This window comes from Homo sapiens, chromosome 9 (assembly GCF_000001405.40).
Source record: "Homo sapiens chromosome 9, GRCh38.p14 Primary Assembly".
Classification (NCBI taxonomy): domain Eukaryota; kingdom Metazoa; phylum Chordata; class Mammalia; order Primates; family Hominidae; genus Homo; species Homo sapiens.
The window spans coordinates 124,796,373-124,819,130 of record NC_000009.12 but is presented as its reverse complement, the minus strand read 5'-3'; the positions used below and the strand labels follow the sequence as shown (position 1 = coordinate 124,819,130).

General features: G+C 51.4%; 1 protein-coding gene across 4 annotated transcripts in view, besides 5 other annotated features; it reads right to left on the bottom strand.

Moving 5' to 3' along the window:
• Positions 1-4,248: 4,248 nt before the first annotated feature.
• OLFML2A (olfactomedin like 2A) overlaps positions 4,249-22,758 on the bottom strand; it is a 37,750-nt gene continuing 19,240 nt past the window's right edge. For 2 of the 4 annotated variants that reach the window (NM_182487.4, XM_006716989.3), the window contains 5 exons: positions 19,640-19,846; positions 17,468-17,717; positions 14,789-15,037; positions 11,165-11,350; positions 4,249-9,323 (listed from right to left, as the gene is read on the bottom strand). In NM_182487.4, coding sequence (NP_872293.2) covers positions 8,719-9,323; positions 11,165-11,350; positions 14,789-15,037; positions 17,468-17,717; positions 19,640-19,846 — 1,497 coding nt within the window. In that variant the 3' untranslated portion in view covers positions 4,249-8,718. Of the gene's footprint in view, positions 9,324-11,164; positions 11,351-14,788; positions 15,038-17,467; positions 17,718-18,056; positions 18,258-19,639; positions 19,847-22,758 lie in introns of those variants that run through there. The other 2 variants (NM_001282715.2, XM_005251760.6) reach the window with 2 other exon arrangements.
• Positions 5,917-6,418: an enhancer, noted in NCBI's record as "H3K27ac-H3K4me1 hESC enhancer chr9:127574992-127575493 (GRCh37/hg19 assembly coordinates)". NCBI's record gives its function as "activates a minimal SCP1, AML or CMV promoter by ChIP-STARR-seq in naive and primed H9 embryonic stem cells {active_cell/tissue: H9 hESC(naive and primed)}" and the evidence as "EXISTENCE:reporter gene assay evidence [ECO:0000049][PMID:30033119]".
• Positions 6,920-7,422: an enhancer, noted in NCBI's record as "NANOG-H3K27ac-H3K4me1 hESC enhancer chr9:127573988-127574490 (GRCh37/hg19 assembly coordinates)". NCBI's record gives its function as "activates a minimal SCP1, AML or CMV promoter by ChIP-STARR-seq in primed H9 embryonic stem cells {active_cell/tissue: H9 hESC(primed)}" and the evidence as "EXISTENCE:reporter gene assay evidence [ECO:0000049][PMID:30033119]".
• Positions 7,423-7,923: an enhancer, noted in NCBI's record as "NANOG-H3K27ac-H3K4me1 hESC enhancer chr9:127573487-127573987 (GRCh37/hg19 assembly coordinates)". NCBI's record gives its function as "activates a minimal SCP1, AML or CMV promoter by ChIP-STARR-seq in primed H9 embryonic stem cells {active_cell/tissue: H9 hESC(primed)}" and the evidence as "EXISTENCE:reporter gene assay evidence [ECO:0000049][PMID:30033119]".
• Positions 19,176-19,689: an enhancer, noted in NCBI's record as "H3K4me1 hESC enhancer chr9:127561721-127562234 (GRCh37/hg19 assembly coordinates)". NCBI's record gives its function as "activates a minimal SCP1, AML or CMV promoter by ChIP-STARR-seq in naive H9 embryonic stem cells {active_cell/tissue: H9 hESC(naive)}" and the evidence as "EXISTENCE:reporter gene assay evidence [ECO:0000049][PMID:30033119]".
• Positions 19,690-20,204: an enhancer, noted in NCBI's record as "H3K4me1 hESC enhancer chr9:127561206-127561720 (GRCh37/hg19 assembly coordinates)". NCBI's record gives its function as "activates a minimal SCP1, AML or CMV promoter by ChIP-STARR-seq in naive H9 embryonic stem cells {active_cell/tissue: H9 hESC(naive)}" and the evidence as "EXISTENCE:reporter gene assay evidence [ECO:0000049][PMID:30033119]".

Below are 22,758 nucleotides of genomic sequence, written 5' to 3'. Positions count from 1 at the left end.
TGTGGGCCGCTCCGTGGCTCCTGTGCGGATTCCCATGGCTCCTGTGGCTCCGGGAGCAGCCCACACTCCTTAGCAAGGCACATGGAGGCCCCGGGCTCTCCACTCTTCCAGCAGTAAAGCTCAGCGAGAGGGTGTGGTTGAGTGTGGCTTCCCTGCTCCCAGCAGGCTCTCAAGGGCAGGGAAGGGACTTGCTGAACATGGTGCTTCTGAGCCTGGCACACGGAAGGTATGTGTCATGGTGCACAGCCCACAGCACATGACATGCAGACCTGCCAGGACAGAGAGCAGATGCTCTGAGCAGAGAACCACCTGGTCACAACCCTGACAGTGGCCACCACTTCCTGAACGCCCACCGTGCACTGAGCCTCAGGCTAAGAGCTTACTCACAATCGCCCGGTGACTGCTCTTTTTGGCATGTGATGTTGTCCGCCAGGATGATAAAGGTCAGAGATAAGCCTGTCCAGCCCCCGAGCCCACAGAGCTCTATGGCCTCAGCCTCTGTGGGCCACAGGCTTGCCTTGAACACTGGATCAGGGCACAGCCAGCCGTGTGCCTGCCATATCCAGTGCTGTGAGTGTTATTGCCACAGACAAGAGAAAGGCCACAGCTTTTTTTTGTAGTTGCAGACTGGGGTGGGGGTTTTTAGGCAGGTGTTTTTCTCTGAAGATGGGTTTTCTCATTTTCCTAGAACCGCAAGATGAAGAGAGTCGCCGTTAATATCCTGTCTGCTCTCCAGCCTCCATGATCTGAGATGGCATTCTAGAGATTTCTGTGTGGAACCTGACTTAACAAATATTGCTGCACAAATAAATGAAAGAAGTGTAGCTTGTGCAGCGGCCATGGCTTCAGAGCCAAGGGTGGCTGGCTCAGGAGTTCATGTAGGAACTTGCCCAAGGTTTCAACATACATCAGTTGGTTATCTGAGGACATACGTTGAGAATCTCCTGGGTGCTGACACAGTGGGGAACGAGGTCTGTTCTCACAGAGCTCACAGAGGGGAGATGGATGTGAAGCAGGTAAACTCATAAATTAATAGTAATTAGTGGCCAGGCATGGTGGCTCAAGCCTGTAATCCCAGCACTTTGGGAGGCCGAGGCAGGTGGATCACCTGAGGTCAGGAGTTCAAGACCAGCCTGGCCAACGTGGTGAAACCCCTTCTCTATTAAAAATACAAAAATTAGCCAGGCTTGGTGGTGGGTGCCTGTAATCCCGGCTATGTGGGAGGCTGAGGCAGGAGAATCTCTTGAACCCAGGAGGCGGAGGGTGCAGTGAGCTGAGACCGTGCCACTGTACTCCAGCATGGGGGACGGAACAAGACTCCGTTTTAAAAAAAAAAAAAGACAGAGTCTTGCTCTGTTTCCCAGGCTCAAGTGATCTTCCCACCTTAGCATCCTGAGTAGCTGGGACTATAGGTATGCACCACCATGCCTGGCTAATTTTTTAGTATTTTGCAGAGACAGGGTCTTACTGTGTTGCCCAGGCTGATCTAAAAATTCCTGGGCTTAAGTGATCCTCCCGCTTCAGGCCCCCAAAGTGCTGGGATTACCAGTGTGAGCCACCACGCTGGACCTCTGGCTGGGGTCTTAAGCCAGGAAAAATGGGGTAGTGGGGAGCAGATGGGACAGGCTGGTGAAGGGCTCAAGGAGCGATGTCATGATCCAGGTCACCCAAAGCCCAGCCATTTTGGCTTGCATGGGACTAGAGTCAGCCCCAGGGGTGTGTGCAGGGTGAGAAGGATGTGGCTCCAGTGGCCACTGCAGTGGTGGAGTGGCATTGCTGTTATGTTTCTGGTTGGTGTGTCTATGGAGAGCAGGACCCCTATCATTGCCAGGGGCTACAGGGACAGTGCCCAGGTCTGCCAAATCTGGCCTCCCACTGGGGGAGGCTGCGGAGGGAGGTCTGGCTGAGCAAGTGTGTCTGTGGGCATCTGTGCATCTGTGTATGTGGGGGTGGAGATGGTCTTAATCCAAGTCCACCCATGAGTAGTTGAGACAGCTCCTCTAAGCTGCCATGTGAGGGCCTGAATCATATGGGAGAGAGCTGTTCCCTTTCCATCCATTCCATCTCTCTGAGTATATTGAGGACAGTGTCCACTTGCTGCCACTTTCTGTCCACTGTACCCTTGACGTCCCGTAAACACTTGCTAATCTTCCTTTTTTTTTTTTTTTTCTTTTGAGATGAAGTCTCGGTCTGTCACCCAGGCTGGAGTGCAGTGGCGCAATCTTGGCTCACTGCAACCTCCGCCTCCCGGGTTCAAGCAATTCTCCTGCCTCAGCCTCCCAAGTAGCTGGGAGGCACGCACCACCACACCTGGCTAAATTTTGTATTTTTAGTAGATACGGGGTTTCGCCGTGTTCACCAGGCTGGTCTCGAACTCCTGACCTCAGGTGATCCGCCTGTCTCAGCCTCCCAAAGTGCTGGGATTACAGGCGTGAGCCACCACACCTGGCCTCTAATCTTCCTTTTTAACGAAGGGCGATGGGGCCTGAGGGCTAGTGGATACAGTCTGTATTGGAAGGCAACTGTGGTGCTTGTTGTCAATGTAGCATCCCAGTTTGTGGTCATTGCCACTGGCTTTCTTTTTACTATTGTAATATACATCTTCCTCCTTAAACATTTGTTTAAAAGCATTTTTTAAATAAAGTTTCCTTTAATTTTACTAAAATCATTTTAGTGAAAAGAATGGAATCATCTGAAAGAGAAACAGTAAGTCATGCTGAAGTTGGAAAAGGGAAATGGGAAAAATCACCAAGAGGGGTTGTGAATGACTGCAGTTTGGGCCACATGGGACTATGCGACCTCCAAGGTCCCCTCCCCAATTCCATGATACGCTCTTTTTCCTAGGAAAGCATTCTTTTTTTTTTTTTTTTTTTTGAGACGGAGTCTCGCTCTGTCGCCCAGGCTGGAGTGCAGTGGCACGAGCTCGGCTCACTGCAAGCTCCGCCTCCCGGGTTCATGCCATTCTCCTGCCTCAGCCTCCCGAGTAGCTGGGACTACAGGTGCCCATCACCACGCCTGGCTACTTTTTTTGTATTTTTAGTAGAGACAGGGTTTCTCCGTGTTAACCAGGATGGTCTCGATCTCCTGACCTCGTGATCCACCTGCCTTGGCTTCCCAAAGTGCTGGGATTACAGGTGTGAGCCACAGCACCCTGCCAGCCTTTCTTTTCTTTTTCTTTTTTTTTTTTCCTTACCTTTCCCTTGGCCCCACATTCTCTGACCCAGGAGTGAGTGTACCCTGCACCTCTCTCTGCAGTTGGCACAGGAAGGCAGGGAAGGGGCCGAGGCTAGTGTCTGAACACCTTTGGGAACACCTGGCTTGTCTTCTCCACTCGGCGGGGTCTGGCTTTCAGTCTCAGTTGGATTCTGCACAGCTCACCACTCCAATTAGTTCCATCGGCAGTGTAGCAACAATGCCAGTTCTCATAACAAACTCTTTATTTTTTATTTTTATTTTTTTGCATGCCACAACGCCTGGCTACTTTTGTTTATTTTTTGTAGAGAGGAGGTCTCACTATGTTGCCCAGGATGGTCTTGAACTCCTGGTCTCAAGTGATCCTCCCACCTCAGCCTCCCAAAGTGCTGGGATTACGCGCATGAGCCACCATGCCCGGCCTCCAATTCCCATTCAGCTAACAGCGTACTTAATCTCCCATCCACCTACCCCATTCATTTTTCCACACCATCAGTTCCTTCCAATGCCTGATCATGAATTTTTTTTTTTACTTTTTTATTATTATTTTTTTTTTTTTGAGATGGAGTCTTGCTTTGTCACCCAGACTGGAGTGTGGTGGCGCCATCTTGGCTCACTGCAACCTCCCAGGTTCAAGCAACTCTCCTGCCTCAGCTTCCCGTGTAGCTGAGACTACAGGCACGTGCCACCATGCCCAGCTAATTTTTGTATTTTTTGGTAGACAGGGTTTCACCATGTTGGCCAGGCTGGTCTCGAACTCTAGAATATATACAATATGATCTTCTCCATTTTAATAGGAGAAAGGTCAGACCCCAAGCAAATTCCCCAAGTTCGACCCCTGGTTTGACAGATTCTAAGGCTTATGCTCTTGCACAGTTGTTTGTGAGTGTGCACTCCTGTGCTGTGTTGACCTCTAGTAATCCACCTACCTCAGCCTCCCAAAGTGCTGGGATTACAGGTGCAAGACACCATGCCCAGCCGACAAATTATTTGTTTTAAAAGTTATTAAATGTATGTGTTCTGATAAAGATATGGACCACAGCATTTAGTCCAGACTTTTAAATCAAACCTTTGATCATGTCTTTATTTAGATATAGCCCATCTTGTTGCAAAACAGATATCTCAGCAACTTACAAAAATAAAGTACAATAGCATAAAAATAAAAAGATTAGGGTAAAGGTAAAAGCAGAAAGCTAGAATGAAGCGAGTCTAGTAGGAGACTCAGCACAATTGGAAAAAAAAGGGTCTCGAATTTGACTTTGAGCTTCCCAGCGGCCAAAACAAGGAAGAAAACATGACTGGTTACAAGATTCCTACCAACAGTTAGTCTGGGACTCTGGTACAAAAACAGACCTGGTTTATACCTTGACTCTACTGCCTGTTGGAGACGTGACCCTGAGCAGGTTGCTTAAGCTCTCTGAATTTGAGGCTCATCACCTGTAATGGGGAGGAATAATGCCGGCCTCGGGGCTCCTGGGGGGGGATTAGGGGTAAAGCTCTAGAAGGGTCTTGTCCTCACTAAGCTGCATGTTCTTAGCTGTAAGAGGGAGTTCACAGCCCTACCCTGAGCGGGAGAGAACTTGACCAAACCTGTGGCATAAAAGAGGTGGGGCTGGATTCCAACCCAGGGCTCCCTAACTCCCAGCCAGGGCTCTCTGCCAGCCATCCAGTGCCATGTCCTGTCATGACAGCGGCTTCCAATGCTATCCCAGAGTTAAAGACGCTTTGGAACACATGGGCTTTCAAGAGCCCTCAAATCATTCCCAGGAAAATCCCCCAGCTCCACCTTTAGCACTGCCCGCAAGGCGGGAGCTCCATTCTCTACCCCACCGCAGAGAAAGCCGATTAAATGTAAGGCCTGGACATCTCTAGGGGGAACGCAAGAGGTAGCCAAAGCCCCTCATGAGTCACGTTGTTCAGAAACACCCGAGACAGCTTCCTTTGCCTTCCTTTGCCTTTGTAGACGAGGTCAGCAAGAAGACCTGGTCCCCCTCAGTCCAGGCCCTCCCTTGTTTGAAGTACCTTTTGCCAAAAGCAACAAAGCCCAAGACAGGTAAACAAACAAACAAACAAACAACCTCAAAAGCTGTTGGGGATCAGGTTTCCATGACAGCTCACAAGTGTGCAGTTGTGGGCTGGTTCCAGTTCCCTACAAGAAAAACCTTTCCCTTCCTCACCAACAGGACAACATCCAACTGTCTTAGAATTTTTTCTCTGTAAATTTATACTTGACTTTGTTCTAAATATGACTGGAGGCATCCACTCCTTGGCTTGGCATTCAGGCTTTTTATGAGCTGGCCCCAACCTCCTTCTTGGGGCTTCTCTGTGGATGCAGTTTAGGGATAAAAGCAACAGCCTCCGTTTCTGGAGCTGCCACTGGAGTGACAGGCTGGTGGCAAAGAACACGCACTGACCAGCGCCTGGAACAGGCTGAGCTGCTGTGTGAGCCTGGGTAAGTCTCTTCTCCTCAATGTCCTCATCTGTAAAATGAGGACATTCAGGATACAGACCTCCCACTGTTGTGAGGCTGCAAGGATACGCCCGTGGCAGGCTTAGCACAGCTGGTGCTCAGTTAATGATGATGGTTTTCTTACCTGATTTTGAAACCTGGTTCTCCACTTAACTGCCTATGTGACGAGCGACCTAACTGTTCTAGGCGCCAATGTGACCATATGTAAAATGAAGAAACTGGCCAGGCGTGGTGGCTCATGCCTGTAATCCCAACAGTCTGGGAGGCTGAGGCAGGTGGATCACCTGAGGTCAGGAGTTTGAGACTGGCCTGGCCAACATGGTGAAATCCTGTCTCTACTAAAAATACAATTAGCTGGGCTTGGTGGCAGGGCCCTGTAATCCCAGCTTTTCAGGAGGCTAAGGCAGGAGAATCACTTGAACCCGGGAGGCGGAGATTGCAGTGAGCTGAATCGCGCCATTGCATTCCAGCCCGGGCAACAAAAGCGAAACTCTGTCTCAAAAAAAAGAAAAGAAAAGAAAAAAGAAAAAACTGACCATACCCACCACATAACCCACTTACAAGGGTATGAAAACAGAAGAGGCCTAGTGAATGTTTGTTTGGCGGCTGTGGCCAGGATCGTTCCCCCAGAATGCAATGCTGCTTGCCCCTTAACTTTTAAAAATCAGCCTATTCTCACTTTCCTTTTTTTCAGATTAATGAAGAAAGGGGGGCCTTCTCCTTCTTCTCACATGGTTGGGCTATGATGTCATGAAAGACACAGTCTTGTAAAACCCACACCCAGGGCCAAGGGAGATGCCGGGGCCTCGAGGCCCCCTGGTGAGTCTGGAAGAGGAGCCTGCAGTGGTTAGTTGGCCGGGGGTGGGGGCTGGATGTGACCATGATGAGTCAGGCCTGGCTGGGCTGGTTGTCATCATTCCCCTGTATTCCAGGGGTGAGTTAGAGCTTAAACAAAACAGCACCTGACAATGCCTGAAAGAAGTGTATTCTGCACAAAAAGCATTTGCTGGCCAGGCGCAGTGGCTCATGCCTGTAATCCCAACACTTTGGGAGGCTGAGGCGGGCGGATCACCTAAGGTCAGGAGTTCGAGACCAGCCTGGCCAACGTGGTGAAACCCCTGTCTCTACTAAAAATACAAAAATTAGCTGGGTGTGGTGGTGGGTGCTGTAGTCCCAGCTACTAGGGAGGCTGAGGCAGGAGAATCGCTTGAACCCAGGGGGCAGAGGTTGCAGTGAGCCGAGATCGCGCCACTGCACTCCAGCCTGGGCGACAAGAGCAAAACTCCAACTCAAAAAAAAAAAAAAAGGCATTTCTTTACACTCTTACACTCTTGGCTGTGCAGCTGACCTTCCTAACATGGCAACTGGTATTCAAACATACAGACATCCAGGGAGCTGGCATTGGGACAGAATGAAGGCAGCAAGGGCCAGGGGGCAGGTGAGGATGAGCAGTAAATGTCCTTCACAGGTGCTGGGGTGCCTTCCCAGGTAGGGCAGCCTCCATGTGCGGAGAATAAAGGATACAGACAGAACCCTTCTGGAAGGAGATCGGCTGTGCCCAGCTCCCAGTGTGACACTGAGCTGCTCTCTAAACTTTTCTGAGCCTCTTTTCTCTTTCATGAAACAGGGAGTTGGGCTAGAAAATTTCTTTCCAGCTCTAAAAATACTGTCTAAAAAAGCAGAAGAGGGGCAGGCTTGAAGGCCTCGTCCTCTGGGCTGTGTGGGTCTGAGGCTCTGGGGAGCCACCAGTGGCCCCGGGCAAGGTGGCCCCCGTGCATCCTCAACCCAAGTCCTGGGTCGAGCCAGGAAAAGTCCAGTCTGCAGACCCTCAGTTCTTCCCTCCCCGTTCCCACCCTCTGGTTCTCTCCTGCAACCAGAAGAAGGCCTGATGCCTCCCCTGGACCCAACTACTCACACCATGTCTTCTGCAGCCCCCAGGCTGCTGGGCCAGCCTGCCCAGTGACCAGGTCAGGGCTGGCAAGGAAGAGGGAAACTGTGCCATCCTGGCACCACACCAGACTTGGGCCTAGGGTCTTATTCATGGCAGACCCGGAGGTATCCCTGAGTGTGTAAAGGTTGTGGGTTTGAAAGCCCAGAGAAAAAGGACAAGGCGGACTCCAGGCCCAAAGGCTCTGGGATGAACCAGGGAGGGGACCCAAGGCCTGACTATGTGAACAACGCCAGTGCTTCTGGGTGGAGAGGGAGCCTCAGCTCAGCTCCCCACCCTGGCAGAGCTGCCGGCTGCCTTCTCAGCTGCTGCTGCAGAAACAAATGACGGCACTGATGAAGAATAAGAGAAAATAAAAATGAGCATAGAGCAGACAGGGGCCTTGGAACAGAGGATGGGATTTTCTCTCGGGGTGCGGTTTCTGCTCAGCAGCTAGGTGACGGTAGAGGTTTGGAATGTGGCCGGACAGCGGGTGGGGTGGGCTGGGCTGAGGGGGCTGGCCAAAGACAAGAGACAAGGACATTGGCTAAGGGGCCCAAAGCCCAGGGCCACCAACAGCTCAGCCAGAACAGGGCCCTAGGATGGCAGGCAGAGCCAGGGCCTCCACCCCACACCAGTACACTGGCCCTAAAGACCTCTGGTTCTGAGTGGCCCTGGGAAGGGAGACTGGGTTGAGAGAACAAGGGAGACCGGGGAGATGGGGGAGGGCAGGGAGGGGAGGGCGTGGTGAAGTCTCCTCATCCCTAAAATGGGGCTGTCCTGAGAGCACAGCCTGCCTGATCACAACTGAGGTGTTAGGCAAGGGACGGTGCCTCTCTGAGCCTGTCTCCTCGTCTGTTAAATGGGTTCATGATCTCTACCTCCAAGGGAGGTGCTAGGAGAATCAAACGGGTAAGTGTGTGGGAAGTGCTTGGCACGGTGCTCTGCAAGTGGAAGCAAGTATTACCCACTGGGTGCTGAGGAAGCTCAATCCTGGTGACCACCTCATGCCCAGTCCCAGCCCTGGGCTGGCCCCCAATAAATATTTGCGGACTGGGTCAGTTGCAGGAGCTGCTGTGCAAAGCCCCTCCCGCACTGCTGCCCCTCTCCGGGGAGCACAGGTCTCCACTCAGACCACGAAGTGGAGGGTGTAGGTGAGCTGGTGGCCATTGTCCCAGGCGTACAGCACCCGCTCCTTGGGGTTGTAGTCGATCTGGGTGGTGTAGGCGTGCTCGTTGAGGAACGGCAGCTGGGGGCGTGCGTCGGTGCCCGTGTGCGTGTCGAAAGCGTAGGCGACCTGGCCTTCCTGCTGGTTGTACGTGTCCACGGCATACAGGATGCCGCACACCAGGAAGCAGTTCCCGTAGGAGTTCCGCCGCAGCCGTGTCTTCCACGTGGTCTCCCGGTGCACGGAGAGATCGCCGGGGTCCAAGCGACTCAGGACGATCACCTCGGGCTGGGCCTCATCGCGGTCGTCCACGGCGGGGTAGATGACCCACAGGCCGCTCTCGTCCACGGCAAAGTCAATGTCCGAGTGTCCGCGCCACTTCCAAGGTGTGGTGTCCTCATATACCACGTCGGGCAGCAGCGCCCAGGAGGCCACGAAGCGCTGCCGTAGGTCGTACTTGATGATGTTCTTGGTGAAGGCGCGGTTGTAGTAGAAGGCGCCCTGGTACACCACGTGGCCTGTGCCGATCCAGTTGTAGGGTAGCTTGTACATGTTACTCCAGCGGCCTGCAGGCGAGGGCGATGGTCACCCCAGACCTCCCGAGCAACCCCAGCCCACCCACATCCCCTGAGCCCACCAAGGGCTCTCAGTGGCCCAGTAAGTGACTGATACCAAGCATGTGCAGTGTGCCTGGAGCTGGGATGACATCTTATTATGGCACAAGCGTCTCCTGAAGGAGGTCTATCGTCATCCCATCTGCTTAAAAAAAAAAAGGCTCAGAGGATCAAGGTCGCCCAGCTCTGGAATGGCACAGCTAGGATTTAGACACAGGGTGACATCAGCCCCATTCTTTGTCTCCAGGCCTTCGTCCCTGCTGTTCCTCTGTTAGGACTGCCATTCCCCAGGCCATCTGCTTGGGGAATGCCTGCCCATCTTTCAGAGCCCCAGGCCAATGTCACCTCCTCTAGGAAACCTTCACTGACCTCCCTAGCCTGAGTGAGGGGCCTCTCCTCCAGCCTCCCATAACCCTTTGTCTTTTATCCCCCCAGGACACGTCTGTAGCAGCCAGACAGAAGCCTTCATCTTGATACTTATCACTGGCTTCCTCCACCACCCTGTGCGCTGCTTGAGCAGAAAGCCGGCCAATTTTGAGCTAGCGGAGGAAGGATTTCAGTTGTTCCAGGCCTTTATTTTTTTCATATTTTTCGAGATAGAGTCTCTCTCTGTCATCCAGGCTGGAGTGCAGTGGTGCGATCTCGGCTCACTGCAACCTCTGCCTCCCAGGTTCAAGCAATTCTCCTGCCTTAGCCTCCCAAGTAGCTGGGATTACAGGCGCCTGCCACCACACCCAGCTAATTTTTTTTTTTTTTTTAATTTTTTAGTAGAGACGGGGTTTCACCGTGTTGGCCAGGCTGGTTTTGAACTCCTGACTTGAAGTGATCAGCCCACCTCAGCCTCCCAAAGTGCTAGGATTACAGGTGTGAGCCACCACGCCCGGCCTGTTCCAGGCCTTTAGTTGTGACTCCATGGCTCTCGGGGTTAAGTCCAAACTCCTTTATCTGGCTCACCAGGCCTGCCCCAGCTTACTCAGTCACCATCCCCCCTACCCCAGGCCATCACGTTTCCTCTCATTGCCAGGCCTCTGCATGTACTCAGCCTTCTGCCTGGAACACCCTTCCCTCTCCCTTCCGCATGGCTTACTCCTACTCTTCTTCCAGGGCCCAGCTCAGCATCACCTTCCTGGGAAGGTCTTCCCTGATCTCTAGGCTGGGTTCCCATAGCCCCTTCAGTGCTCCCTCTAATGCTGTACTGAAATCGTCTCTTTAAGCCTTTGCCTCCCCCACCAGACTGTGCATTTCTGAAGGGCAGGCTAGATCTAAATGACCCCTTCCTGGCATCATTCCCCAGGTTTGATAAGCAGAATTCTGCCCTTCCCTGTGCCGTCAGCTCCATCCTGGCCCCTGCCCAGACCTGCAGCTCCGCTAAGACCTGAGACACTGCGCACCTATAAAACAGGTGATAACCCCACCTCCTGGAGGTATGTAGCTACCAAGAGCTGATACACGGGGGGCGAGATCAGCACAGGGTAAGCGTTCAACAAATGGAAACTCAGTATTGGCCCCTTGATGGTAAGTCACACTTGTGAGGGCAGGACCATGTCTCTCTTGTTTGCCGCTGCATTCTGGTTCCTGGCAGGGTGCTAGCACACCGGGGTGCCATGGGGTCTGTCTGGGCCTCCAGCCCAGTGCCCTCAGCCCAGAACCCCCTCCTTGGGGTGGCTAACAATCTGGAGCTCAACCAGCCTATACCATAGAAACCCACAAGGCAAGGAAGGCCAAGTCCCCATGAGGACCCCTCCCCAGGTTGTCCATACCCAGCCCCCTCTCCACCTCCGGGGGTCCCTGACCTTGCTTGAAGTTTTCCAGGTTGCGGAACTCCACCAGGCTGTTTCCATAGTAGTAGTTGGTGACATAGATCCTGTCGTCTCGAGCTGCAGGGTCCTTCATCCAGGCTCCCTCGTGGCGCCCATAGCTGTGGTGCCTCACAGGGGGGTCCACAGCCCGGAGGGTGCCCTCACAGCTCGCCTCTCTGCCTGTGGGGAGGAGGGCAGGCAGCATCGGTACACAGACCCCCAAGCCCCCCAGCCAGAGCAACGGGCTGGGAATGTTATCTGGGTCTAACTTAAATCTCTCCTGAAATTTTGTTTGTGGCCTTCTTTCCCCTTTCCTCATCATCAAAACAATGCCTGATCGTTACCAAAAACATAAAACATTCAGAAAAGCAGAATGGAGGCCAGGCGCAATGGCTGACGCCTATAATCCCAGCACTTTGGGAGGCCAAGGCAGGTGGATCACCTGAGGTTAGGAGTTCAAGACCAGCCCGGGCAACATGGTGAAACCCGTCTCTACTAAAAATACAAAAATTAGCTGGGCATGGTAGGCGGTGCCTGTAATCGTAGCTACTCAGGAAGCTGAGACAGGAGAATCACTTGAACCCAGGAGGCGGAGGTTGCAGTGAGCAGAGATCATGCCACTGCACTCTGGGCGACAAGAGTGAAACTCTTCTCAAAAAAAAAAAAGAGAATGGAGAAAATAAAAATCTTCAAAGTTATATTATTCATTATATGTGGAATCTAAAATAGTCAAACTCGGCCAGGCACAGTGACTCACACCTGTAATCCCAGCAATTTGGGAGGCTGAGGTGGGAGGATCACTTGAACTCAAGACTTGAAGACCAGCCTGGGCAACATAGCAAGACCTTCTCTCTACAAAAAAAAAAAAAAATTTTTTTAATTAGCTGAGCATAGTGGTGTGCGCCTGTAGTCCCAGCTACTGGGGAGGCTGAGGTGGGAGGATTGCTTGAGCCTGGGATATTGAGGCTGCAGTGAGCTGTCATCACACCACTGCACTCCAACCTAGGCAACAGAGCAAGACACCGCCTCAAAAAAAATAAATAAATAAAAATTGGCTGGGCGCGGTGGCTCATGCCTGTAATCCCAGCAGTTTGGGAGGCTGAGGTGGGCGGATCACAAGGTCAGGAGTTTGAGACAAACCTGGCCAATGTGGTGAAACCCCATCTCTACTAAAAATAAAAAAATTAGCTGGGTGCGGTGGTGGGTGCCTGTAGTCCCAGCTACTCTGGAGGCTGAGGCAGGAGAATCACTGCAGGAGGTTGCAGTGAGCCAAGATCACACAATTGCACTCCAGCCGGGTGACAGAGTGAGACTCCATCTCAAAAAAAATAAAAATAAAATAAAAATAAATAAAAATAAACATTAAAAATTTAAAAAGTTAAAAAGTCAAACTCATAAAAGCAGAGAGTAGAATAGTGGTTACTAGTGGATGGGGGGATTGAGGAGATGTTGCTTAAAGCATTCAAAATTTCATTTAGACAACAGGAATAAGTTCAACATACTGTATACTTGAATTTTGATTGCTAAGAGAGTAGATTTTAAGTGTTCTCGCCACAAAAAAAGATACATAATGTGAGGTAATATATATGCTAATTAGCTTGATTTAGCCATTTCACTGTGTGTACACATATCAAAGCATTATGTTGTACATTATAAATACACACATTTAAAAAAATTATTCTTTCTGCAGTATGTCAAACAAATGAACACATACAATTTTTATTTGTCAGTACAAAAATTTAAATTTTTTTCTTTTTTGGTTTTTCTTTTTTATTTTACTTTTTAAAAAATAAAAAGAATTTAAACTCTTATAAGATAAAAAATAAAAACCTAAAAACTGCCATTATCCAGAGAAAAATTTTCTTCTGTTCTTTTATTCTCTTTTTAAAAATTGTATTTCACTGATCACTTGAGGTCAGGAGTTCAGGACCAGTGTGGTCAACATGGCGAAACACTGTCTCTACTAAAACTAGAAAAATTAGCCAGGCGTGGTGGTGTGTGCCTGAAATCCCATCTGCTTGGGAGGCTGAGGCAGGAGAATCTCTTGAGCTCAGGAGGCAGAGGTTGCAGTGAGCTGAGATCACGCTACTGCACTCCAGCCTGGACCGCAGAGTCAGACTCCGTCTCAAAAAAAAAAAAAAAAAAAAAAAAACCAAAAAAACCAAAACAACAACAACAATAATAATAAAATTTTATTTAAATAGTTTTTGGGGAACAGGTGGTTTTTGGTTACATGGGTGAGTTCTTTAGTGGTGATCTCTGATATTTTAATGTATCAGTCACCTGAGCAGTATACACTGCAGCCAGTATGTAGTCTTTTATCCTTTACCCCCTCCCACCATTCTCCCATCCAAAGAAAAATTTAAACATGTGGCATTTCCTTCCTTTTCTTTTTTCTTTGCATGTACAGTCATGCAGACATACTTTAAAAAACTGTGAGTATACAGTTTTATGTATCCTGTTTTTAGCCTCCGTTGAGCAATTTCTCTCATCATTAAATAGGCTTTTAATGATGTGATTTCAAGGTTCTGCCAGGCCGGTGGACAGCTGTGCCCTGAATTTATCTGACCAGTCCTCCCCATGTCAGCCCTTCGTGTTATTTCCAGTTTTCTGACATTAGAAATGATGCCATGATGCAACCACTTAAGCTGCAGCTGTTGTTCCCATTGCTGGTAGATCCTTCAGGAAAGATTCCTAGAAGTGGAATGACCTTGGACCAAAGCAGGACAGGGTTTGAAGGATTTTCACCACAGAGAGCCAAGATCCCTTCGGAAGGACGGGATCAATGACTTAACGAGGAAGATTTCTACCATGAGACACAGAGCAAAACTATAAATGCTGACATCAAAACAGAGCCAACGATTGGACACAGGAAATAAAGAAATAAAAATAGTTGCTGGATTTGATGATGGCATTCTAGGTGACATTTTAAGAAGAATTTGTTGAAAATACTACCTGGGCTTGGTGCGGTGGCTCATGCCTGTAATCCCAGCACTTTGGGAGGCTGAGATGGGAGGATCACCTGATGTCAGGAGTTAGAGACCAGCCTGGTAGTGAAACCCTGTCTCTACTAAAAATACAAAAATTAGCCAGGTGTGGTGGCGGGTATCTGTAATCCCAGCCACTCGGGAGGCTGAGGCAGGAGAATTGTTTGAACCCGGGGGATGGAGGTTGCAATGAGCCAAGATCTCACCATTGCACTGCAGCCTGGGTGACAGAGTGAGACTGTCTCAAAAAGAAAAAAAAAAAATTTCTTTCGCCCAGGCTGGAGTGCAGTGGCACAATCTCAGCTCACTGCAACCTCTGCCTCCTGGGTTCAAGCGAGTCTCCTGCCTCAGCCTCCCGAGTAGCTGGGATTGCAGGCACCCGCCACTACGCCTGGCTAATTTTTTTATTTTTAGTAGAGAGGGGGTTTTTCCATGTTGGCCAGGCTGGTCTTGAACTCCTGACCTCAGGTGATTCGTCCACCTTGGCCTCCCAAAGTGCTGGTGTTACAGGTGTGAGCTACCATGCTCAGCTATAAAAAGCATTTCTTAACTTGAGGGCTTCACAGAAACAGGCTGTGGGCTAGATTTGGGCACAGGCTACAGTGTGCTGACTCCTGTGAGGCTCACTCACCTTGGCTGGAGACTTCTGGACCTGAAGGTGGCTCGGTGGGCAGGAGACTGGTGGTGGGGGTTGGGGTGGTGGTGGCGGTGGTGGTGGTGGCAGGGATTGAAGTGGGGGTGCCAGAAGCCAGGTCCACTCGCTCGGAGGACCTGGGCTCAGCCTCATCCTGCTCTGCGGAGTTGGGCTCTGCGGAGTTGGACCTGCCCTCCACCTTGGGCGGCAGTTGCTCCAGCCAGGAAGTGCCCTGGAGGGTGTTGTCTGCAGAGAGAAGACCCCTGTGCTCAAATCTCAGCACCACCTGCTGCCGTGTGGGTCTCCCTAAGGTCCACTGGGCCCCCATCTCAGGGGCCCTCAGGGAGTGGAGGGGGAGGCCTCCTCAGGGCCTCCTCACACCTGGAGGGGGGTGAAAGGTCTCCAAATGGGAGGCAGGGAGGACTTCACAGCCAGGGCTCTAAACCCAGCCAGGTGGCCTCAGCCATGTCCCCCTGCCTTCCTGGGCCACCTCTGTGAACTGAGAGTCAGGAGCCCACCATGCTGGACTGTGGTGTTGACTACAGAAAAATGTACATAAACATTTGCACAGATCCCAGCAAATACGAGGTACCAAAAAGGAGATCCCTTTCCTTCCTATGCATCAAGCACTTTGTACCAGTTCTCTCATTTGCTAGATTCAATTCTAGAGAGAAGCTCTTGTTCCCGTTTTACAGGCCTTCTCCTATTATTCTGCCATGGAAAATGCAGCTGCTGCCAGAATCAAATGAGACGGCATGAACGAAAGTGCTTAGAGGGTTGGGCGCAGTGGCTGGTGCCTGTAATCCCAGCATTTTGGGAGGCTGAGGCCGGCAGATCGCTTGAGCCCAGGAGTTCAAGACCAGCCTGGCCAACATGGCAAAACCCTGTCTCTACTAAAAAATAGAAAAAATTAGCCAGGTGTGGTGATGGGCCCCTGTAGTCCCAGCTATTAGGGAGGCTGAGGAGGGAAGATCACTTGAGCCCAGGAGGTCAAGGCTGCAGTGAGCCATGATCGTGCCACTACACTGCAACCTGGGTGACAGAGTGAGACCCTGTCTCAAAAGAAAAAAAGAAAGAAAGGAAGGAAGGAAGGAAGGGTTTAGGGAAACACTTTTACACTTTTGTGACACCGGCCGGGCGCGGTGGCTCATGCCTGTAATCCCAGCACTTTGGGAGGCCAAAGTGGATGGATCACCTGAGGTCAGGAGTTCGAGACCAGCTTGGCCAACATGACGAAACCCCGTCTCTACTAAAAATACAAAAATTAGTCGGGCATGGTGGCACGTGCCTGTAATCCCAGCTACTTGGGAGGCTGAGGCGAGAGAATTGCTTGAATCCAGGAGGCAGAGGGTGCAGTGAGCTGAGATTGCACCGCTGCACCACTGCCTAGGTGACAACAGCGAAACTCTGTCTCAAAAAAAAAAAAATTGTGACACCAGGGAGACAAAGGAATGGTGCTGTTATTACTATGATGGTCTGGTGCCCAGGGGACCTCCTGGTCAGCTGGGTGAGGGGCTCAGAGAACCCTTGACTTGAGGACAATAACTTCTTCCTTTTTTCTCCATTTTGGGCTTCCTCTTTGCACAGGCCCTGCTGTGGGCAGCCTGGGCCCTGGCGGGGAAGGGGGTCATCCCCCTGGTCGAGGAGGACCACAGGGAGGCCTGGCCTAAGCAGCCTGCCAGGGCAGGGTGCCTGTTCCCACAGGCCTTGCTGGCAGAGTCAGATGCCTGCAGCTGTTCTTAGGCAGTGCCCCAGCCAGGGGTCAGAGGCTCTGTGCCATGTCCAGACCAAGCTGGCAGGGCTTGGGCCAGCAGCTGGGACCAGGGTAAAGAGGCCCCTGAGTCCTGAGAGGCCAAGAAACAAGAGGGCTCTCAAAGGAGCCTGGTCCCTGACTGTTTCACCTCCTTGCGCCCCTTGCACATGGGCTGGAAGGAGGGCTTTGCAGGAGGAGGTGGTCAGCAGGACCTAGGAAGGGGAGGAGCAGGTTTGGGACACCCCTCTGGGACATCAGAAGAGAGCAGCCATCTGGGGCGGGTCTTAGTGGGGGAATCAAGAACCACAACCCGTAGAGATGGCTCAGAAATTTGGGGTATCTTGAAACGTGTGTCTCTTGTTTGCCAATTACTTTGTCACCCTTCTCTGTGATGCAGCAGAGAGCTGCAGGAAAAATACAAGAGTCTGTGGGCTCTTCCTTGGGGATATAAGAAGAGGGAGGAGCTGGAGAGGAAATGAGAGATGCCCTGAAAGCCCTTGTCACTTCTCAGGAGCCCGGTATTCTCCTGCCCCTCACTGTGGCAGCTGCCTGGTCATAGGTATTTTTTCTCACTAGACTGTGAGATCTGTGGGGACAGGGACTGTGTCTCTACCATTCCCTGTCACCTGGTCAGAGCGGACCTTCAGCACATTTTCAAAAGCACAAAGAAAAGTCCAGTGAAGGTGAAGACAGCTGTAAATACTGAAAAGCCACTGAGTGGCCCTGCAGGTTGGTTCTGCCATCTCATCCCAATGACCCCCTGAGTGGGGTGTTATCCTCATATGTGAATGAGCAGAGGGCACCCAACAGGTAATCAATGGGTGGAACTGAATCTGGGGTGGTCCCACTGCAGAGAAGATGAGGGGATTCCTAGGAGGCATCCATCCCTGACTCCCCAGGGTCCCCATTCCCCTCCTACTCACCTGCCACCGCCTCGGTCACCTCCTGCTTGCCTGCCTTGTAGTAGGTGAAGCCCCGGATCACAGCCTGCTGCTGGGCCAGGGCGCGGGGCTTGGCTGTGGGCTGGAGGAAACTGCCCTTGCCGCTCTCCTTTCTCAGCTTCTCCACCTGAAGCAGCTTCTCCTTGGGAGGTTTTGGGAGGCCTCTGTCTGCAAAGCTTTTCTGCACACTGCCATACTTGCTGATGTCCTTGCCTTTTCCTCTAGCTGTGTCCTGGGAGGGAAGAGAAGTCTCAGACTTGAAGGACAGTAGAAGAAATGTTGTGGGGAGTCCTGGGGGCTCAGCATGTGGGGACTGGAGGTGGCCATGTTGCCCCAGGCCCTATGTCCCAAGCACTCACAAAGTCACAGCTTTCCTTTACCCCACCATGGTGGCTACATCCATGACTGGTTTGCCTCAGTTTCCTCACCCAGCTCTTTAGCTCCCTTGCAGGCTTGAAGTCCAACCTGATAGGTTAGATTCCTGTCCCACTTCTCAACTCCTGTCCAATCCCCCTGGGGGGCAGGCTAGAAGGACCAGCTCCCTGGGAGGCAGCCTCCTCCACCTGCTCACCTTCCCAGCCTTGTCTCTCTTACTCATTGGTCTTAGTACGTGGGCAGGGGAGAGGTTCTTAGGCACCTAGGCAAGGTGACCAACTCATCCCAGAGTGCCTGGAACATTCCTAGTTTTAGCACTGAAAGTGCTGCATCCTGGAAAAACCCTCAAGTCCCAGGCAAACTGGGACAGGGTTGGTCACCCAACCTCTAGGATATGCCATTTCTAACTTTTTGTGTTTTGTTATTTTCACTTCCTATTTAAATGCCTCCGATGCTGGCTTGGCACAAGAACACAGGGCCTGTGACATCACTCATCGTTAGGCAGAAGCTCCAGCAGATACGGCAAGTACAGTAGCTGGGTGCCTTCTGCACCATTGCCAAAACACGCTTCATTCTCGCCTGCGGAATTGGCACGGGAATGAGCAGGAAGCCAGCTGGGGGCCAAGGCACAGGCTTCCTAGCTGCTTTATCGGCATCTAGGCAGTCCCAGTTGCAGACACAAATGGCCGCATTATCACAATGTCAGCAAAGGAGACCGAGATGTGGAGAAGAAGAGAGGAAGAGGGTGGGCTTGGCAGTCACGCAGACCTGGCTGCCAGTCCCAGCTCCGCCACCGCCTCTCCATGTGACCTCTCTCCATGCCTCATCTGCCAAATGGGCAGGGGTCGCCCCTCCTCCCAGGTGACTATGGGGTTCACTGACAATGTCTGTGAGAAAGTCAAGTTTAAAGTAGGAATTCCACAAATGTCAGCTCCCTTCTTCAGCCACTCACCAAAACACAAGGCCAGTGTGAACAATGGTGTGGCTTGTGTCTTGCCCAAGGGTGACTGGCCAGAGGAGCCTGAATGGGGTTGAATCCAGTCTGCACTCCATTTGCCAAGCCACATACCCAGCAAAGGCAGGAGCCTCTGTGCAACCGGCTCACCCAAAAGTGGTTGTTCCTTCTAATTGATCTGCTCAGAGGGAGAACCAGCTTCACAGTTCATCTGCCTACAGAGAGGACGTTTATCACATTTGCACGCAGGTGTGTTATCTGTCATGGGTGGCTCTGCCTAGTGACAGAACCAGTGCCTCTGCTCACTCTGCTCTGAGCTTGGAGGTCGAGTGCCTGGGTATTGGCTGCAGGGGTTCTGTACCCCAGGGTGGGTTGGATGAATGGGTATCAGTCTGCAGGGGTCCCTGAGGCATTGCCCACCTCCCTCTGAGCAGGCTCAACCCAGCCACAGCAGGGGAGGCTAGAAGTGGTTTTGCTGCAGCCAACCTGGTCTCTGAGGGCCAGGCAGGGGGCACCACCTCCACAAGCTTGTCCCTACTAGTTTCAAGCTTGGGAATGAGAAGGATGCCAAACACCTGGCTTAGGGACCAGCCCCCTTGGCAGGATCCCCAGGCCTATCCCCCATTCCCTGTGCTGACTGTGCTTGCTGTACAGCAGGTATCCCCTGCACCTCACCCTGCCAGGGACTCTCTGGCTGTGCCAGTCCTCAACCCCATCTTACAGCCCCAAACCCCCATCGAGCTGATCCACAGGGCCAACGTCCTGGCACACTGAGCTCCCAAGTTCAGCCAGCTCCGGCCCCATGATCAGAGCTGGGGCCTCACCTGGGCCTTGCTACCAGTGCCCGTGGCAGGGGTGGCAGGGGCGGCGGCGGCATCCTTCTGCAGCAGCTGGAGGCCCAGGCGGGACAGCTCCTTCTTGATGCCCAGCATGATGGCAGAGTGATTCTCATAGTGCCTCAACTGCTCACTGAGGTGGCGCACGCTGTCCTTCACCACCTCATTCTCCCGGCTCAGGTTGGCCTTGATGCTCTGCGGAGGGGGCAGGATTGGAGGTCTTTCCTGGGCCAGCTTCCTCTGAACCCCTAGCCTGGAGGGACACCCCAGCTTTGGTCATTAGGCTTTGCTGCCCAGTCCCCCGAACGGGCTAGGGGCGGCCGCAGTGAGCATGAGCAGGAAAAATAGGCTCCAAGAGACCCTGTGTTTATGAACTTTTTAAATTTAAAAAGTGAAGGAATTAAAAAAATAGATAATACATGTGCATGGTACTAAATGTAAAAGATATCAACGGCTATAAAAAGTCACCCTCCCACCTTTATTTCTCAGTGCCAACAGTTATTATAGGTTCCTTGTATATCCTTCTAAAGAGAGTCTGTATATTTACGGGAACACATGTATACATACACACATATTTTTACCACTTTTCTTTTTTGCTGAACAGCCTATTTTGGGAACTGATGCATATCTGCATATATAGTGCTCCGTTCCTTCTCATGGCCACACAGTACACCATTGCTTAAAGGCCATAATTTATTTACCCAGTCCCTTATTTTTTCTTTTTCTTTTTCTTTCTTTCTTTTTTTTTTTTTTGAGTAGCTGGGACTACAGGCACCCACCACATGCCCGGCTAATTTTTTGTGTTTTTAATAGAGACACGGTTTCATCATGTGGGCCAGGCTGGTCTGGAACTCCTGGCCTCAAGTGATCCGCCCGCCTTGGCCTCCCAAAGTGCTGGGATTACAGGTGTGAGCCACTGCACCCAGCCGCCCAGTCCCTTTTTGATGGTTACTTTTTTTTTTGAGACAGAGTCTCACTCTGTTGCCCAGCTTGGAGGGCAGTGGTGCGATCTTGGCTCACTGCAAGCAATTCACTGCGACAACCTCTTCCTCCCGGGCTCAAGTGATTCTCCTACCTAGCCTCCTGAGTAGCTGTGACTACAGGCGCGTGCCTCCATGCCTGGCTAATTTTCGTATTTTTAGTAGAGACGGGATTTCGCCATGTTGGGCAGGCTGGTCTTGAACTCCTGACCTCAAGTGATCCACCCACCACAGCCTTGCAAAGTGCTGGGATTACAGGCGTGAGCCACCACCCCTGCCCATTATGGATGGTTACTTAAGTTGCTTCCAATCTTTTGCTACTTTAAAATTACTTTAAAATTGTATACATAATACATAAATATCTTCTGCTTATAAAATCTTCAAACAGTGTAGATGGAGTGGAACCCTTTGGGGTTTTGCTGAGGGTGAATCTCTGCTCCCTGCAAGTCTCCAGCTTCTCTCCTGGGCCGTGCCGGCTCCTCTCCCAGCACTGAGCCCTGCCTTTACTCCCAGGGCTGTTCTCCTTCCCTGCCTCATCTCCCCTTGCTGGGGCTCTGGCTCCTTGCCTACTTTTAGCAGCTCCCACACCAGCTCCTGGATCTACTCCTGGTTCTGAATCCTGCCAGGAGCAGACAGACTGCTTAGAACCATAATGCCCCTCGCTCTGTGAACCTCCCGCTATCTAGGGATCTCCTTTGCTGGGCTGTCACCCAAGCTGGCCTTGTTCACTGGAGAGGACTTGGAAACCTGGGGGGCCTGGCAGGTATCAGTCCCAGTTCGCCAAAGCTCTAGTAGATCTGGGATTCTTTCGTCTGAGTATACTTTTCAGCTAAAGCAGGACAGACAGAAGTCAGAGGCAGAAAGCACCAGTTTGCTGAGAAGCCGCGGAGCAACAGAATTATGGGTCCAGAATTTCATTTGTAGAAATTGTTACAGAGGAAAAGATAACCTAAAAGTGATTGACGTCCAGTCATCCCTGGGTGACTCATGTTCAGGGACCAAGAGGCAGCAGGCAGGAGTCGGATACCCTTGGATTCAAATCCTTGCTCTCTACTTCCTGGCTGGGTAACTTTGGGCCAGTAGCTACTTCTCCAAGCCTCAGTTTCCCTGCCTGAAAAGTGGGCTATTATGTCATCATACTAACAACTAAATGGCAGGGTCACTGTGAGGACCAAAAAGTCTATGGAATATGACAGTGCATTTTAAACTAGATTCCAGGGGCTGGGTGCAGTGGCTCATGCCTGTAATCCCAGCACCTTGGGAGGCCAAGGCAGGAGGATCGCTTGAGCCCAGAAATTTAAGACCAGCATGAGCAACATGGTAAAGCCCCATCTCTACAAAAAACACAAAAAACTAGCTGAGTGTGGTGGTGTGTACCTGCAGTCCCAGCTACTTGGGAGGCTGTGGTGGGAGGATCAGTTGATCCTGGGGGATTGAGGCTGCACTCTACCCTGGCCTACAGAGTGAGACCCTGTCTCAAAAAAACAAACAAACAATCAAAAAACTAGATCCCAGGGATGACAGAAGTCAAAGTGTATGACAGATTTTCTCAGCCTCATCACTATTGACATTTGCCAGATAGCTGTTTGCTTTTGGGGACTGTCCTGTGTATTGTAGGGTATTTAGCCAAATCTCTGGCCTCTAACCAGTAGAATCCCAGTAGCACCCATCCTGTCCCCCACTTAAGTTGTGACAACCAAAAATGTCTCCAGCTATTGCCAGCTTTCCCCTGGGGGCAAAGTCACCCCTGGTTGAGAACTATTGGTGTCAGGGAAGAGAGCAGAGGGAAGCTGAGACCCCAAGTTGCTGCTTATCCCCCGGGAGGTTTTTCCCTTTGGCAGAGGGAGCCAGCCTCTCCCAAGTGAGGCTGTTCTCTCCCCACCTCCTCCCAGGGTGAACAAAAGCTTTTTGCTTTTAATTTTTCCATAAGGTTATCACTTAGTAAACCATGGTTAACAGGAGCAATGCAAGATAATGCAAAACAGGAGATAATTAAAAAGTCATTTTTCTGTGGCTGTGGAAACCATCTCTGGTTGGTTCCAGGCCTAGCTGATATACCCTCCGGATCATCTGGCTCAGAGTTACATGAAGTGGGTTGACATTTCCTGAGGTTACAAGAGGAAAGAT